The sequence below is a fragment of the Homo sapiens genome, chromosome 4 (assembly GCF_000001405.40).
Source record: "Homo sapiens chromosome 4, GRCh38.p14 Primary Assembly".
In the NCBI taxonomy this organism is placed as follows: domain Eukaryota; kingdom Metazoa; phylum Chordata; class Mammalia; order Primates; family Hominidae; genus Homo; species Homo sapiens.
The window spans coordinates 158,225,686-158,244,530 of NC_000004.12; the positions used below are offsets into that span (position 1 = coordinate 158,225,686).

Here is an 18,845-nt window from a genome sequence, read left to right on the forward strand (position 1 = left end):
AAAGGTCCACGACAATACCACCACACATCCGTTCAGGGATGAACAAGGGCTGACTGATTGATAAGCTCTTGAAAATTCTTAAACTCATCACATCCTTTCAGGTCTCTAAGGAATGCTGTTTCCTCCCTGTCGTGAGAGACACGAAGTGAATTTAGTGTTGGGAGATGGAAGCTGGATGGCCCTCGGGGGCTGACCCGCAGGGTGCCGGACTTCGGGATATAGCAGAGAGAGCTTGGCATGACTTATTACTCCAGGCTATAGAATCCTGGAAAAGAGCTACCATGCAGCCTATGCCTGGTCGACTGGAGGACCACCTTAGTGGAGCGGGGGACAATCTGGGCCTCTGGCCTGCCATGTGCACAAGCATAACAATTGCTTTTGTTTAACGTGCAGATGGAATATTTGATCCATTTTAACCAGGCATTTGCATCTTGGTATCCTGTCTTAATTGCTAAAGTTTGTTTTAAGTCTTTAACTTCTATGATCCTCTAGTAAAATGAATGTATGATTTTTATACCAGATAAGCTAAATTTTACCTTTATATTAGTGTGTTATTAATGTTAAACTTAATTTTAATAAAATCTTGTAGACATATTTATCCAATTTTTAATGTTTGAGCATAAGGTAAGATTTTATAGACTCTTTTTAATCTTTTATAATTTTTGCTAAAGAGCAGGTTGGTGATTTAGGAAAAGCCTGCTATGCTTTTATTTTAATGGCCAGTTTACAGAAAAACTGCATGATACCTCTTTAACTTTAGCCAATGTTTACACATGGAATTTTCTTTCTAATTAACATTTTAAAACTTGATTAAACCTTTAAAACAAAATATACATATTTTTAACCTTTTAATGTAGGTAAAAATTTATATTTTTATGCCTTCTTATAATTCTTTTATCAAAAGTATATTTTATTTTCTTTATACACCTTGCACATAAACTGTTTTGTTTTGTTTTTGTTTTTGTTTTACATTCAGGAGGCCTAGCTACTTTTAAATTATACAACATTTCTTGCATAAATTCTTTTTTATAACATTTTTATAACATTTTTTCTCTTTCACAACTTTCGCCGACAATTCTTTGACATGCTTTAACTTTCTGACTTATTACAAATATTTTTTTCTTTAAACAACCAGTTAATTTATTTCAGGGCAAGAATTTACCATATAATACTCTTTTTACATAAATCCCGCCCCCCCTTTTTTTCTTTTCTTTTTCTTTTGAAGATGATAACTATTCTTTCTAAAGCGAACTTCTTTTATGTCTGTGGGCTAGGCTGTCTGAGGCCACAAGAATAGAAGTTAGTATAATACATGTTACACTGTTAACTTTTAGCAAACTTTACTTTTGTTGAAAACCTTGTAAGTTTGGGATTTTAATTATCCTTTGCTATTAATAAGACCTTGTTTTGTCCAAATTAATTTAGAATTGGTATAGATGGCTTTTTTTTTTTTTTCCTAACGGAATAGCCTCATACCTTAATATTTTTGAGTTAGTAAGCTGCTTTTTTGCTTTTTTGATTTAGGATACTTCTGAACTGAACTAGTGAGGTGTGCTCACGATGAGGTTTCCTCTAAAAGTTATTTTTGTTTTATTTTTTTTCTGTTAACAAAGCAGTTGCCGCTACAGACTGAATGCATTTGGGCCATCCACGGGTTACTGGGTTAAGGATTTTTGATAGGAAGGCCTCAGTGCTTTCAGGATACGCCATTGTTTACACTGACAATGAAGTGGTATTGGAGCATTATAGGGTTACAGAGAATACTTTCAATTATCAATTACAGGTTTTAAATTTACTTTGGCTTTTAAAGGAATAAGGTACACTGTTTTTTTTCTTAACTACTTATATATATATCTCTCTTTCTCTCTTTCTTTATCTCTTTGACTTTGTCTCTCTCTGACTTTCCTTTTGCCTCTGTCTCTTCCTCTCTCTCTTCTCGCTTATTCTGCAGTTCTCTCAACCACTGTGGAGAGCTCTAAAACCAGCTCTCCAAGCGTATATGTATAGAACCAGTAACCAAACGTCTATGTACAGAAACTGGTCTGGGTGCCCTGGCTTTACAGGTTACCTTGGGCCATACCTTTGAAACAAGAGACCTGTCCAGGCTTCTTTCTGATGGCCAACTTACCTTCAATGCTGGCCAGTCTACTTTACACAAAGTTTTAAGTTTTCCTGGTGTCATAGTACTCCATAGTCTCCTTTAAATCCTTTCTTGAAATTTTTCAATGTATTTCCTAGTAGGGTCAGCTTATCTGTGCCTGACCCATGCTTCTTCGAGGCAAAACACCATGCTCACACCACACACACACCACAAAGCAAAGAACGGGTAAAAAGGCACACACACACTTTTGCAGTTTACACCAAACCAAAATCAAAACCAAAATCAGAGTATCCAGAAATCCAAGCCAGGTCAAAACCAAAACCAAAGTATCAAGCAATCCAAGTCAAGTCAAAAAGAAAAACCAAAGTGCCAGTACAGGCACACCGTGGGTGATCAGGCCACGCTTCCACTCAAATGGAGTAGGCAAGTTCCCAAGACCAGTCCTGTCAAGTAATCAAACCAAGTCAAAACCAAAACCAAAATCAAAGTGCCGATAAAGGCATGCCATGGGTGATCAGGCCACGCTTCCACTCAAATGGAGTGGGCAAGTTCCCAAGACTGGTGCTGTCAAGCAATTCAAACCAAGTCAAAACCAAAACCAAAACTAAATCAAAGTGCCGATAAGGGCACGCCATGGGTGATCAGGCCACGCTTCCACTCAAATGGATGGAGTAGGCAAGTTACAAAGACTAGTCTTACCAAGTTTCAGATGTCTGGACTCCAAGTACCAGTTCCTTCCCAGTATTCAGCCACTGCGTCGATCCTCCACAGGGGCCTGCCACACACTGCTCTGGTGAGGCATCCCACCGGGGCAAATGCCTACCCGGGAGCGCTCTCAGGATCCATGTCGCTTGGGCTGGTCGGAGTCCCTCGCAGGGATGTTCCACAGGGCAGGCTTAAGCCGCCTAAGGAGCTGCATCGACCATCTGCCAATCACCTCGCTTCCCGGTCAGGGAACCAAGAAATGTAGCAGGAGGAGCCGCAGACAAAACTCCTCAGACACGGAGTTAAAGAAGGAAGTGGTTTATTCGGCCAGGAGCATCGGGCAAGACTCCTGTCTTAAGAGCCAAGCTCCCCAAGTGAGCAATTCCTGTCCCTTTTAAGGGCTCACAACTCTAAAGGGGTCCGCGTGAGAGGGTCGTGATGGATTGAGCAAGCAGGGGGTAGTTGACTGGGGGCTGCATGCACCGGTAATCAGAACGAAACAGAACAGGACAGGGATTTTTACAGAGCCTTTCCATACAATGTCTGGAATCTATAGGTAACATAACCGGTTAGGCCATTGGTCGATCTTTAACTACCAGGCTTAGGTCAGGCAAGCCCAGGCCTGGTTTCAGGTCTGGTTCCTTGGTTTTGGGTCTGGTTCCTAGGCGCCGGGCTACCTGCCTTTAGTTTCGCTTCTCTTCCCTTTTCTGAGTATAAAACAATATGAAAAGGTCTGTCTCTCTTCTCTCAAGGTCACTCTTCTGTAGGGCTGCTGTGGTTTGCTGGGGGTACACTTCAGGGCCTATTCATCTGGTTTGCTCCCGCGCTTAGAGATGTTACTCAAGGAGGCTGAAGAACAGCAAAGATGGATGCCTTCTTCTTCATCTGGGATCTCGGACCCCAAGAGGCACCAACCTGATGCCAGTAGGATCATTCCTGTACAGGGTGCCTGACAAACCCTGTTAGAGGATCTCACCCAGTTGGGTGGCATGGGGAACAGGACCCATTTAAGGCAGCACTTTGACTGTCCCTTTTGGAGGGGGTGAGCTTCGCTGGGGGGAAAACCATTTATCTGGTCTATCCAGATTCCTCAGAACTACTGGAGGAAAGGCTAACTCTGCTGGTCTGCAGAGACTATGGCCAACCCTCCCACTAAGGGAGGCCCAGGGAGGCTAGGGTTCTGTCCCTGAGACTCAGGCTAGAGTTGTTGGAGTTCCTGCAGGGAGGCCCCGCCCAGTGAGAAAGGATGGGTCAGGGTCAGGCCTGAAGAGGTGCTCTGGCCACATTCTGCCACAGACAGTGTGTTGGGCTTTAGGGAACACTTCTTGGGGATCAAGCTCTCCAGCCTCCCTGGCTCCGGCAGTGGAAAAGCATGGCCTGGAGCTATAGAGCTGGATGCTACCCTTCCCTCACCCAGGGAGCTTAGCGTGTTAGATGGTAATGAGTCCCAGTGCTGGCTGCTGCCCCTTCCCCAAGGAGCTCAGATGGCTTAGGCAGCAGGCAGCTGCAGCTGTGGTACTGGTCACCCCTCCCTTCGGGAGCTCAGCAGGCTGAGGCAGATTCCAGCGGAGAGGCTGTTGAGAATCTGCATGGCTCTAGTGTTGGGACCCTAGGCCCCAGTGGCGTAGGTTTGCAAGTGGGATCTTCCAATCTGTAGGTTGCAAGTTCTGTGGAAAAAGCATGGTTTCCCCAGCTGGGTAGCATGCTCACTCACCAATTCCCTTGGCTGGGGTGTGGGGGTCCTGCAGCCCTGTGTGGCTCTCAGGTGGGCCACTAGACCACACTGCTTTTCCTTCCTGACCGTTATTATGTCAGCCACCTAGTCAGTTCTGATGAGAGAATCTGGATACCTTGGTTGCCAGTGAAGGAGTCACACACTAATTATCATTCTTTTTGATGTGAGCCTCTGATTGCTGCTGTTACTAGTTGTCCATCTTGGTCCCACCCATCCTATCTGTAGCTTTCAAGTGTTTTCTAACATATCATTCTGTATTGTTTATTAGAAAAACACACAGGTCTATACAGAGTAGAGGATTTTCGTTGTATAATTTTGAGAACAAAATGCCAATTGATGTCTAATATTAACCTTACAAATATATATATATATATGCACACACAGAAATACATATTTACACAAATATGTGTGTGTAAATATATATATAATATATATAAAACACACATATATGTAACTCATATATATTAGGCTTTATGCATTCAATTTTACTACATGTTAAATATCTTGAGGACCCTGAAGGAGATATAAGATGTGGTTTCTACTGTAGGGGTGGAAAGGTGTGATAACTTTCTTCCCTATCATAAGGGTCATGGCTGACACTCCTATAATAAAAGACAGGTTGACAAGACAAAAACATAACAAATTTAATCAAAGTTCTGCATGACATGGGAACCTGAAGACCCAAAGACCCAGGGAAAAAACATCTGTTTTTCTGCTTAGATTTGAAGATTTGACAGCCATGTAGAAATGTAATTACACAAAGGGTATGATCTAATGGTAATAGACTGAGGGGAGAAACATAGCAAAACCCGCCTGTTCGGATTCTTCTTGGTCTCTTTGTATAGTATTTCTTCTTCTTTGATATACAGCAGGACCCCTCTGGAATGAGGGTCTTATGATCTAGACAAGGTAGGTCAGAGAATTTCTTTATAGCCAGCTCCTACACAGAACGTGGAGGGTTGGGGGTTGTTGGAGTAACTGATCTAGGTTTCATGGCTGGTTTTGAGGAAGAGGGATTCTAGTGTCCATAACTCATCTTTGAGAAGAGGAATTCTAATTTCTGTGGCCTGCTTTGTGGGAGAAAGGTGAGTGGAAGCCATCAAGGCATGAGGAAGTCAAAGAGAGACTTTCCTTCTGAGGCTGCTTCTGAGGCCTTCCAATCTCCTATAGTTCAAAGTACTCAGCACGCCGAAGTGCCGTAATTTGGGGTATCATTTTCTGACCCCAACATTGGCTTTTATTGAATTAGAAAATCTTTAGAGAAAAAAAGATTACATTGTGGCAAATGGTCTAGATTGTGTGGTAACTATTCTTAGTGTTGTGGGGATTCAAAGAGGAAGATTCAGTGAGGACTGGCCCAAGGGGAAGTTTTTTTTTAAACCACATTCAACACTTCAACTCTTCTTTAGTTTGGACAGGACAAAGAGTATCTAGGGTGTCCAGCTAGGGAAGAAAGAGAAGCAAGTGCAAGTCGTTGTGAAAAATTGGGGAGGGGGGTTGGTAGACAGCTTGGAGCAGGGAGTGGTCAGGCATAGAAGCCAATACGAGGATTTATGTTGAGATAGGTTGGATGGAACATAATGCAGAGAGCCATAAAAATCAAAAAGGAAAGTTAAATCTCATATGGAAAGGAATATGAAACTATTCATGTTTTAAAGCAAGTAAGAGATTGAACAAAGAAACCTAACTAGAGCATTTTAATTTTTACACAAAAGACAGCATATGATAGACACTCTTCTGTACCTAGCTACCTACCCTATTTCAGTGTCATATATGCTTTGAAAGCTTCTTATTTTGTTTGAAATGTTGAACCATGCAAATGTATTTTAAAAGTATTTCAAAAGAGATGTTAAAAGTATCCCAACGTTGTTCATTTTCTCAAGTTAATTTAATCTTTTGACACATTTTAACAAATTTGCATGGCTTAAAAGCCAAGAGTAAGTGAGGCATTTGTTGCAAAGATACAGGACATCAATAGTGTATTATGAGAGAGATGTTAAAGGGAAAAATGTCACTAGATTTAAATGTATGTTTTTATCTCTTAAACTATATCCTGGAGATCTTCCCATATCAGAGCATAGAGATCATCATTATTCCATTTTTACAGCTGCATAGTATTCCATTGCATGACCATGTAGGCCACCTCACCTGAGTTTGAGTGTACCTGTGTGAGTGGGCCTCCGGCAGGATTGGTAAGGTCAGAAGTGGACACACCGGTGGCCTCAGTAGATCACCCCAGATTCTCCTCTGTGTGAGTTATACAGTTCTGCACTTCTATCAGCAGTATCTGAGAGTATCTGTCCCCTAGCGTTTGTCCAACTGAGGATGTTCAACTTTTGAAGTTGGTCGATATAATAGCTAAGAAATATTATTTCAATGTAGTTTTCATTTGTGTTTCTTTTACAATGTGATTTCAAAGTTAAGGGAAATATCTGATGTAGAAGGAAAGCTTATGAGTTTAGCCTTTAGCCTGTTGTAATTAAGGAAAATGAGAAACATCTAAGAGAATAGGAGTTCTGGCAAAACGGCAGGACCACTGAAGGGGCAATTTGAAAGTAATCATTGTATCATTAGGATCCGATTATTTAAGGTGTGTGTTTTTTTCTTAAAAATCAAGCAGCTTGATATAAACCAGTATTATGATAAATATCACTAAAATTTATTTTCCTTACAGTGCTTTCATATTTTTGTTCATCAAAAGTGAAATACCAAATAACACGTGTTCCATGGATACCACTCCATTAATAACAGAGCATGTGAGTATAGTATGAGAGACAACTTGATTTGAAACATAAAATTAAGATAAATGGATAATACATAAATTTTAAACACAGATGAAAAAGTGGTGTTTGCTCATCACTCCTGGCTATGTAAAATATCTTAGCTTATTTATTATGGGTAGGTCTATGTAGCAATCAATCAATATTTCCGCAGTTGAGCTTCTCAGCAAGCACACGGGTTTATTTATTTTGATTAACAGATCTCTACTAGGTGATATATATATAACCCCATTTTTGTAATGATTTAAAGATTCCTACAATAGAGGAACCCTAAATACTGTAGAGGAATGTGAAAATAACTTTAGAAAGTCAGAGGAAGGAGGTTTTGAAGTTGGTCCAGGGGAGAATAGACCATAGGAGGCCAAGAAAGGTAAGTGAAGTCCTATGAGAATAGGAACTGGTATCCCATTCTACCCGAAGTGAAAAACAGAAAATATGATAGGAGTCACTGTTTTGATCTTGAAGAATCTAAATCAGTCTGGAATAGTAAATCTGAATGAAACAGGAGCAACTTTTAAAAGGGACCTGATAAAGCGCAAGTGTCAGTAGCTACATATACAAAAGTGACTTCAGGGCAAAGCCTCATTGTCATGAACCCAGGCTCTAATCCTTCTCATCTCAAGAAATCTCTCCTGTCTGCCCTGGGCCAGTGCTATCCAGCTGCCCTCTGAATCCAGCGCTCCTCACCCCCAGTGGGGTATTGCCCCTTGGCAGGGTGCTTATTTACCCCTTACTTCAAAATTAATCTTTTCTCCTTTCCTTCTTCCCCTATCCAAACTTTTATCAACTAAAACCTTAGTTAAATTGACACTAAAGTTGAATAGTAATTAGCTTAAGTGTAAAGAGAAGAGGTTTATTAATCCACAGGCATCTCTAATCAGGGAAATGTTTCAGGGAGAAGGGAGGAGTTGGCTTTGGGAAAGGGTTCCTTGCCTGCTTCAGGGATCCAGACACCTCCTGCCCAACCATCCTCCAAAACAATGGAACAAAATAATAAAATAAATGCAGCTTGGTAAAAGATACACAGTAGGCTAACTGCCTGAGATTTTTCTAGGCAATAAGTTTAAAGATCCATAAACAGCATGATTGATGGGTACAGAACCATGCATCATGAGCTCCTTATGATGAAAGAAACCGTTATTGCCAAAGGAAAACTTGACTTAGCACATGACAAAGAATTCAAATCTACTTTCTTGTCTCTTACAAAAATAATAGGATTATAACATCAAGAACACTTCAGTTGGCCAGGCGTGATGGCTCATGCCCGTAATCCCAGCACTGTGGGAGGTCAAGGTGGGCAGATCACCTGAGTTCAGGAGTTCAAGACCAGCCTGTCCAACATGGTGAAACTCTATCTCTACTAAGAATACAAAAAAAAAAAAAATGAGCTGGGTGTGGTGGCACACACCTGTAATCCCAGCTACTTGGGAGGCTGAGGCAGGAGAATCACTTGAACCTGGGAGGAGGAGGTTGCAGTGAATCAAGATCACACCACTGCACTCCAGCCTGGACAACAAGAATGAAACTCCATCTCAAAAAAAAAAAACCAAAAAAACACTTCGGCTATAGTATTATAATATACCCCCCTTATCCACAGGGAATATGTTCCAAGACACCCAAGGAATGCCTGAAACCACAGATAGTACCAAACCTATATATAGTATGTCTTTGTATCTGATCACTAAGACAGCTACTAAGTGACTCGGGGGCAGGCAGTGTATACGATATGAATAGGCTGGACATAGGGATCATTCACGTTCCAGGTGAGATGGAGAAGGACGATGCAGGGTTTCATCACACTATTCAGAACAGTGTGAAATTGAAAACTTATGAATTATTCATTTCCAGAATTTTTCATTTAATGTCTTTGGACTACTGTTGACAGTGAGTAACTGAAACCACAGAAAGTGAAAGTACAGATAAGGGAGGGGTACTGTAATTCCATAGTAGAAATATGAATTTGCTCATAATTTTTCCTGGCTTAGAATATCAGCCTAATATTGAAACATGGCTTGGAATGTTTTATTAACTAATTTAGTAAAAAAAACAAATCAGTATAAGAAATGCTCATTGATCTTAAGCATTCCATAGGAGGAGAGTCTAATTTCCTTACAGATTATGCAGACCATTAAAATATGCAAATGAAACATGAGATAATAAGTTTTATTAGTTTTTATAGGTGTATCACAATAGCCACATATTAAATGTGAGAATTTGAAATGGAAGACTTGCCAACTGCCAAGTCATCCTAAATGAAAGAGGAAACAATTAGAAACAGTTGAGTTTAGAGATATCAGAATGCATAGGTGACATGTTTATTATATTTTAAAGCATGTTTGAAAGAGAAGAGAAAAGCACTAGAAATATTGTCACCAGTGTGATTATCAATTGAATGTTCTTTTGTTTTAATTTGGGCCAATGTTTTCAATAGGTGATCAACACAACCCAAGACCCCTGTTCCTGGGTGGATAAACTTTCTACAGTACACCACCGCATAGTGTAAGGAGAGGTTACTTCTTTGCTCTATTACTCTGTTTCATATTTGGTTAAAGCAGGGATTACCAGCATGAAGTAATGTTCATCTGAGTTCAAGAAGAAAATTGTAATGCAAGCTTTGACTTCTATCTCCATGCGGCGAGGTTTTTTTGTCCCCAGCTGAATTTTAGGTACAGATGCCCTTGAGCTCAACTGCTTTGAGTAATTACTAAATCATTGCATTTATCTCCAAATGATAAGTAGATAATAAAAGCAACCTAATTTTGCATGACTTGTGTAGCTAAAGTAAAAGAGGTAGTAACGTGACCAACCTGCTCTCAGCAGTCATAGTCAGATTAGGCAATAAACTTGTCTAGCACTGCACCACCCAGGATGCCCACCCTGCTCTGGGAATCCCCACACTCCTGTGTTTAGACAGTTATATAATTCCAGACATTCATTGTCAAATATAGTGGAACATTCTGTGTCCGTGTGGGTCCTACTCCCTCTATCTCCATAAGAACTCAGGGAGTTGGGCTCAACATCAGCCCCTCTACTTTAGGGTGTTTTTTTTGTGGTTGTTCTGTTTTTTGGACTTCCAAATAAATATGAAAATACACACTAGTATATAGTTTGCATTTTACATTTGATGGCTGCTTTAAACTTCATGTGGTGACACCTTTTGACTCAAGAATATAAAGCCTTCTTTTTGATAGCGTGTATGCTATGTTTACAGGGGGAAAGAGCAGCACCTGACACATAGTAGATACTCAATAAATATTTGAATAATTTGAATGAATGAAAGAATAACAAACAACATTTGGAAGAAATAAATATGTTGCTGGTTTTGCGTCAGAATAAAACCAACCTTTCAAACAAAAAATTTTTTCAAATTTTTTTTTCACAAAGCCTCCCCTTCATTAAGATATTTTTAAAGAAAAATATGTTAGTTGTCTTGTAATTAGCTAGGCTTAGTCTATTAGTCTTGTCTGCGTTTGGGACGCTCCACGGCTATGAAGTCCAGACCTCACGTGACACAGGGATTTCCAGGATGAGTAGAACATGTTGCCAAGGTGGTCTTGTGAATTTCTACAGGCTCATGTTACTTTATAGTACTATTTAAATTGACTGATTTAATTTTTAAGCTTTGGAGGGAATTGTTTTTGCCTACAACTGTCTTCTGTTTGGAAGGGTTTTTTGTGTGATTTTTTTGTTTTTTTTAGAGACAAGGTCTCACTCTGTCGCCTGGGCTGGAGTGCAGTGGCAAAGTGCTGGGATTATAGGCGAAAGCCACCACGCCTGGCCTGTTTTCTGTTTTCTGTCATTGTCCTTTGTGTTAACTTCAAGGAACTGTTCCAAAATATGAATCACCTCCCCCTACAATCATTGGAAATGCTTGCTTCATGCAGATATGGCCCAAGTCTGGGGAGTCCGCCTGACTCCAGTGCTGAAAATGAAACATTTTCTTTTTTATAAAAAGAAATGTTTTGTCTGAAATACCCAGATTATTTAATTAAATCAGCACTTCTTCTTGACCATGGCATTGTCAACTAAGGCATAGGCAAGTTCGTGGATTTCAATAGTTGTTTTCAACAAAAATGCATTTAGTACTTAGTCTGTCCTAGTTCTGTGCTGGATAGCATGGCCTGTTAAAATTTTTAAAAAATCATAAAGCATGGTGTCAGTATATAGATATCTCAATTTAATTAGAGTGCCAAGTTTATTTATGTAGACTGTACAATATAACTGTAGCAATATTCTCATCTATGTAATGACAACATAATTATAATCCATTTTAATTTCTATAAATCATGTACTTCTAAAATTAGACACTGGTGGACTGAAGCTGTCCTCCTAGTCCTGATGCCACTTTAATACTGCAGGGTATTTCTGTGACTTCCGCCAGTCACAGAGCTTGAGATAAATGGATGGTTTTTGCTTGTTTGTGATTTGCCTTTTGAAGCATGTTTATGATTCCATTTGTGCGTTTGTCAGAAATACTGCTTTGAGCCAAGATTAATAGTGATTTATTTGTTTTGTAAGGGGCTGCAGTCTTGCAGTGATATCTGGAGTACTCTATGGATCTACATTTGTGCCAATCATCTACATCAAGGACCACAGCAAAAGAAATGATAGTATATATGCAGGGGCAAGCCAATATGGTGAGAATAAAAAGTTATCTTACTTTATTAATATCTACTTTTTATGAATATAAAAAGAATTGTGATAATAGTAAATATTGATGGGTCGATTCGATCTTTCTTTGTCCTTGTAAGTGGCGAATTAGAAAGGCATTGAACACCAAAAATAATAAAGGATTGAGCATTTTCATATGATCTTTAACATACAAATGCAACCAACTTTAGCCAGGACTCTTTTCAACTACTTGGATCTCAACACATGGTTTCTGACTTTCCAGTAAGATTTGGAAATTATTTTCCAGTTAGATGATCTCTGGGAAAATATATATACTTCTGTTCTTTTAAAAAGGCTAAAGTGTAGTACATAGTACTTTAAAATGAGGTAAAGGTTAATGTATAGCCTACTTGGTCAGAGGATATTATTTTTAAAGTACAGAGTCATGCACTGGAAGGCCCAATGTAATGCTTCCTGTTAATATCTCAGTTTCCATTGACAGAATTAATCTCCCAAGAGTAAACTCAATACTATATGCAATAGCCTTGTACAGGTTCAAAAGGAGATGAAAGTGTTTACTTTGGGGATCTACTAATTATGTTGAAGCATGGCTTACAACCATGAAATGATAAGAGAATAAGATCATTCATAAAATAAAGTTCTAAATCAGATGGCACAGAAAATTAATGTGACCTCTGTTCAGATAAAGGAGAATTTGGAGGGCAAAAGTCGTGAGGGAAAGATTGTTAAAGAAGTTGAGATTTGAACTCAACTTTAACAGAATGGATAGACTGAGTAGATGCCATAATTTCCATCTTCCTTTTTATAGTTAGCCCCATGTATATTACTCAAACCTTTTACTGACTTCTGTCTTTCTTTTGTTAAAATTTTATACAAATACTTTTTTGCATTTTTACAAAAAGATAGAAATTAATAAAAATAGAATAACATAGAATAAATTAAAACAAGGTCTCACTAAAGAAAGAAAAACAAGAGTGGGTATATAAAAGGAACCAGAAACGAATCTAAAAACTTTATACTACATTTGTATACTTGCTAGAAAGGAGGCATAAATTTGGCTCTTAGAGTCCTTGTAGGCACAAGGGAAATCAGATCAGTCTCATGATTCAATGAGCACAAGATAAAAACAACTAATTGTTCAGGAGCACAGATGTTCTTGGTACAGGGACATAATAAACAGTGTCCTCACCAATCTCCACACAAAGAGAACAATGGCTTCTTAGGGATCTTGCTTGTGACAACTCTGAATGTAATGTGATGGGAACACTTTATCCCAGTTTATTCAAAAATAATGAGGGGGGATTATTTTTATTTCATTTATTTAAAAACACATATGTAATATGTGCTCTGTCCTAAGTATTTTACAAATACTCAGTTAATTCTCATAGCAACTAATACCCTTTCTTTGTTTTACGATTGAGAAAATTAAGACAGAGACGTGAGATGATTTGTCCAAGTCCCAAAGTTAGTGAGTATTGAAATGAGGATTTGCACCCAGGTGGTCCATGCTTTTAATCACTGTATTTTGCTTTCTTTTGTGGTGGTCCATATATAGATGTATTGCCCTTACATGATCCAGAAATAGGATTTAAGACTTAGAGCAACAGACAAACTCTCTGTCAAACTTTTCTTCCTAAACATGGCCACTCATCTTTGTCAAAATTTTAGGGGACAGAAACATTAAATCCAACATGGCTTTCCCAGCCAAGAACCTGTAGTGCACCCATCTGTGTGGCCACAGTCCCATCTGCTTAAACAGTCAGTGGAGTTGGGATTTTTCCGAGATTGGGCCACCATGATGTGATATTAACTCCCCCATGTACTTCGTTTTATAATCAACAATTGAATAAAGCCCTCTCTGGATTAACTTCCTGAACAGCCTTCTGTACAGCTGTCATCTGCAACAGAGATGCTGGTCTCCAGATTGATCAATGGATCCTGTAAAGTTAGCACCCCCAATTTTTTTCATTCACATTCTCACTGTGGTCAACCTGAGGATTTGCTATAATTGCTATTGTCATTAGTAAAATTAGGCCTGAGTGCCTATTTTTAAAAGGGAGGTATTAACATCATAGTTACATAATTCATTGTTTCTTATTTAGCTTTACCAGATGATCATAAAAACTAGCCTTTAGTTTTGATTATAGTAACTAATTTACTACTTAATGTATCTAGATTTTAAATATATTAATTAAAATTCTATATGAACAGCATGTAGAAAACTAGGATGATTAAATATAATTAATGGGGTTTTTTTTTTTTTTTGAGACAGAGTCTCACTCTGTTGCCCAGGCTGGAGTGCAGTGGCATGATCTCTGCTCACTTCAAGCTCCGCCTCCCAGGTTCACACCATTCTCCTGCCTCAGCCTCCCAGGTAGCTGGGACTGCAGGCACCTGCCACCACACCTGGCTAATTTTTTGTATTTTTAGTAAAGGCAGGGTTTCACTGCATTAGCCAGGACAGTCTCGATCTCCTGACCTCGTGATCCACCCGGCTCGGCCTCCCAAAGTGCTAGGATTACAGGTGTGAGCCACTGCGCTCTGCCTAATTAATGGTTTATTTGCCTTTAAGGTTAATTCTGGTGAGTTTATTTTCAGAAATCTAAATATATCTGGAATGATTAAAATGGTGTTTGAGAGTTTTTAATGTCTATTTTCAGATTTAGACTATGTGTTTGCGCACTTCAGTGGCATCTTTCTTACAAGTACTGTCTACTTTCTGGCCTACTGCATAGCCATGAAAAATAGTCCTAAACTATATCCTGAAGCAGTCCTACCAGGTAAGAATATGTACTACAGATCTTCTTACTATATGAAAGTGTCATCTACAACTCATTTAACTTGAATAAGTTTCTTCTGGAAACAAAGCCATCCTCTGTGTGTATATGTGGTGTGTGTGTGTTGTGTGTGTGTGTGTGTGCATGTTCATTCCCCCTAATTACTTTTGCCCAGTTCACCACCAAATATGAAGTATTTTAAATCCTTGAAACTGAATATGCAATGTTGGCCATTATTACAGAACCTAAAACTTAAACAATAAATCTACTAATAAGATATTTTCCTGTGCCAAACATCTTCTGTATTGATCATCATTCTTTACTATTTCTTTTTCACTATCTAAAGGTTCATATATCAACAAATAGGAATATGCAGTAACTTGGGAAAACAGTTTCTACAAAATGTAAGAAGAGATCGTGATGACTTCAAAAAAGACATATGTTAAACATACATGCTTTTGGATTTAATTCATTAGGCATTGATCTTTTTTAAAAATCTCATTTAGGAGTTTATTATGATTCAATTTGGAATGTAGGTCCACAAGTAAAATTTTTTAAAGGCAAAAATAAAGCATAAGTCAGAGACTTGTTCTGAATGCCTAACAGATTTATGCTAAAGAATGCCACCGTGTAGAAAATGCTAGAATACTGAATGCCTAGCTAAAGTGCTGTGAAAGTTTTAGCTGGTAGTTTTACTTAAATACTACAGGTTTTTTTTTTTTCTTAGCCGTAGCATCACTCTGATCCACTTTATTAATATCTATGGTTTACGGTAAATGGTATTTGCAGATAATGTTCGGGTTCAGTATGTCCCCTAGTCCCCTTTTCATCACCCAGTCTCTACCTCTTTTACTACTATGGGTACTTTAATGCTGATAATGTGAAAGCATTGATCACTCTACCCATAGCAGGCAAGAGTAGAGAAATTACTTGCTCTAAAATAACAATAAAACACAGCTCAAAATTCCATGTTGGCCAACAACATTGATTAGAATGCATTTATATGTGCACTTTGATATTCCTGTTGTAGCTCAGTGTGAGTTCTTCAGGAGGGGAACATGGTCTGCAAATGTGTGTTGTCTTTGTATTTCAGGATTCCTGTCAGGAGTACTTTGGGCTATAGCTACCTGCTGTTGGTTCATAGCAAATCACTCTCTGAGTGCTGTGGTCAGTTTTCCAATAATCACTGCTGTAAGTAGCTGAACTGGTTTTCCTAATTTTCATTTTATAAATGTAAACCCAATTTTTCTGAAGCACTCTTAGGGCATCGCTAAAGACTGTCATGGAGTTTGATTTTTTAGGAATACAATTAATGGATTCAGATAGATAAACTGACCCTCTTGAATCTTCATGTGCTTGATTGCTAAGGAACATTTCTCACCTCATTTTAGCAGGGCTGTTACTCCTTAATCTTTAATATCCTTGCAGTTTTTGGTTTGATTGGTTTATCTAATGTAATTTTAGCGACATTGTAATTTGCTATTGATAACTATTATTCTCTCCTTATATAAAAGTTTATAAATATGGGACCTCTTAAAGGGAACATTGAAAAACAAACAAACAATATCCTTCACAAAACTTTTATAGTAGACAGAGAGTTGGTTTTTCTACCATTGTTTCTTGTTTTGAGTTAGAATAAAGACTGAGGACAAAATGAAAGCCTAATTCAAAGGAAATAAACCACTGAAGTAGGTGAGTGTGGGCAGAGGATCAGTGAAAGTGGTCACTGTGGCTTTTGGCAACCTGCCCATCACAGAGATTATTCTTGAAAAACTGTAATGGAAGCAAAGCCTTCTCACTCACCAGGCATAACTTTCTTACCTTGTGCGCTTGGTGCTTGTTATCTGGGAAGGACAGGTATTTGGAATTGGTGAGGGAGTAGGTCCCTATTGCTACCAGGCCCTTGCTTGGTTTTATTTTAGTCACTTTATCCAAGGACAACCTTATCTACACACAGAAGAGTTAGTCCCTACCCTCAACAATCTTACATTCTTCATTATTTTATTTTTTTGGTAGGGCTAGATTTTTAAAACTTTTTTAAACTTAAAATGTCAAACGAACCTATCACCTAGTTTCAACAATTATGAATATGGTCAATCAATTTTATCAGAATACATTTTAAATATCCCAGCAGTGCTGTTCTTCTCAGGTATACATATTCCCATAGTTATATATCCAGTGGTAACTAGACTGAGTTCCTTGAAAGTAGTATCCACTTTGTTTATTAGCAAATAACATTCCATTAAAAAGCTAAAAAAAAAGAAAGAAAGAAAGAAAAAAGTCACCTAGCAGGGGCTGTTACCTCTGCTCCATGTCTTCCTTGATAATTCTAAACTGAATCAGCTTAATCTTAAGATAGGAGCGAGTTCACTTTGTTTTCAAAGGCTGATTTACACCTAACTTACATTAGTTTACAAAAGGAAAATATACAATCCAAATTACCAAAACTGTTGTATCTCCTATGAAGATGTCCTTCCTATTTGGCTCTCCTTGGCCTGAATCAAAGAGTCAGTACATACTTTGACCTATGCTTGCATTACTTTTACCAAAGCACCCTTCCTGTAACCACACTACTCACGATAACTCTTAGGCCATGCTTAAACTCATATTTAGAAAACAATCAGACAAGAATCTTCAAAGGTCAATGATACCTTGTGGTATTGTCCTGTACCATGTTCTCTGAAGGGAAATGGATTTTCAGATTAAAAATTCTTGAGTGATTAGCATAACATTAATATGGTATCCTCTGTTCTATTGTTTCCTCTCATTCTGTTGAAAGTCAGTGTGGGTTGCCTAAAAGACCCATATGCTTCTTGTTTGATTTGGATTTTGAGGCTTAGGAACTTACATCATTGATAAAAGGCAGTTCCTTTGACCTATTTCTCTGGCTCTTTTGATGTTGACTTTCCAGATACTGATAAACAGAGAGGAGTGTATTTTTTTTGTTTCACTTACATACCAAGAGTGGAATCAAACTTCATTGACTCAGTCCTTTTGTCAGTTGGAGTAGTGGTAGGGGAAAAACATTTTGGAATCTATTTGAAACTCTTCCAGAGTTTCTCGGAGTTTGAAGAGCAATCATAAAAATGCTGATACAATACACCTTCTCCACAAAGACCACACCTAGCCCGCATTCCAATTTTCTTCCTTCTCAGCTAAGAAGAATTACCACCAAACTTGAATAGCTTAAAGTTTATAAATTGCAGAACCATTCCTTTTTTTCACCTGTTTCTTCTCATTTCCTCTGTCCTGTATTATTTCATTCTTTTCTTTGTCTCCTGCCCAGAAACCCCTATTGTTTTTCCTTACACGTTTATTTTAATCTTCCCATAAACCTTTTTTTAGCATTCATTGGTGTTTAATGTTAGCCAGACTTGATTGCTCTGTAGTAATATCAGTTAAAAAAATTTTTAAAGCACGAGCTACTTCCACAAGTACATTATTTGTTAGGCCAAAAAGAATATGCCAAAATTTCTTCAGTTACAAGATTATCTCATGCCAAAGAAAGTTAGAAGCTTGTGCACACTTTTTCTTATTAATCCCATTTCTAGTATCCTAAGGAACTAGGCCAATGGAAAAAATAAGCTATGTGCTTATAAAAATAATTTATGTCAGATATATTAAAGTATTATGTGGCACAAAATATTATAGCATCATCAAAATAATCAAAATGAAGACCATGAAGAAAAGAAAATGAAAAAAAGTCTTCATTTTTTTTACTTAATATCACCTAAAGTTTAGCTTAGTGTGGAGTTAGGGTTGATATTATGGGTAGTTTTCCCTGAAAATATGTTTATACTGTCTCTAACTTACTATATTTATATAGAATCTAGTCATAGGTAAATATCCAATTTAATTAAAATTTATATTTTTATTTAAGGGTCCAGGATTTATAGCTGCAATGTGGGGTATCTTCATGTTTAAGGAAATAAAGGTATGTACAAGAAAGGGCAGACTTAGAAAATGGGAATGGGGTAGGCCGGGCGTGGTGGCTCACGCTTGTCCTGGCACTTTGGGAGGCCGAGGCAGGTGGATCGTGAGGTTAGGAGTTCAAGACCAGCCTGGCCGAGATGGTGAAACCCCGTCTCTACTAAAAATACAAAAAATTAGCTGGG

At 38.3% G+C, this 18,845-nt stretch overlaps 1 protein-coding gene across 4 annotated transcripts in view, besides 1 other annotated feature; it reads left to right on the plus strand.

The window, feature by feature from the left end:
* The window catches only part of TMEM144 (transmembrane protein 144), a 44,931-nt gene that overhangs the window by 15,200 nt on the left and 10,886 nt on the right, over positions 1–18,845 (plus strand). For 3 of the 4 annotated variants that reach the window (XM_005263110.3, NM_018342.5, XM_017008366.2), the window contains 6 exons: positions 7,216–7,297; positions 9,753–9,820; positions 11,840–11,958; positions 14,614–14,733; positions 15,824–15,921; positions 18,611–18,664. In XM_005263110.3, coding sequence (XP_005263167.1) covers positions 7,216–7,297; positions 9,753–9,820; positions 11,840–11,958; positions 14,614–14,733; positions 15,824–15,921; positions 18,611–18,664 — 541 coding nt within the window. Of the gene's footprint in view, positions 1–7,215; positions 7,298–9,752; positions 9,821–11,839; positions 11,959–14,613; positions 14,734–15,823; positions 15,922–18,610; positions 18,665–18,845 lie in introns of those variants that run through there. The other variant, XM_047415908.1, reaches the window with a different exon arrangement.
* Positions 8,972–9,266: a silencer, noted in NCBI's record as "tiled region #4077; HepG2 Repressive non-DNase unmatched - State 16:ElonW". NCBI's record gives its function as "represses a minimal TATA promoter and a strong SV40 promoter by Sharpr-MPRA in HepG2 cells {active_cell/tissue: HepG2}" and the evidence as "EXISTENCE:reporter gene assay evidence [ECO:0000049][PMID:27701403]".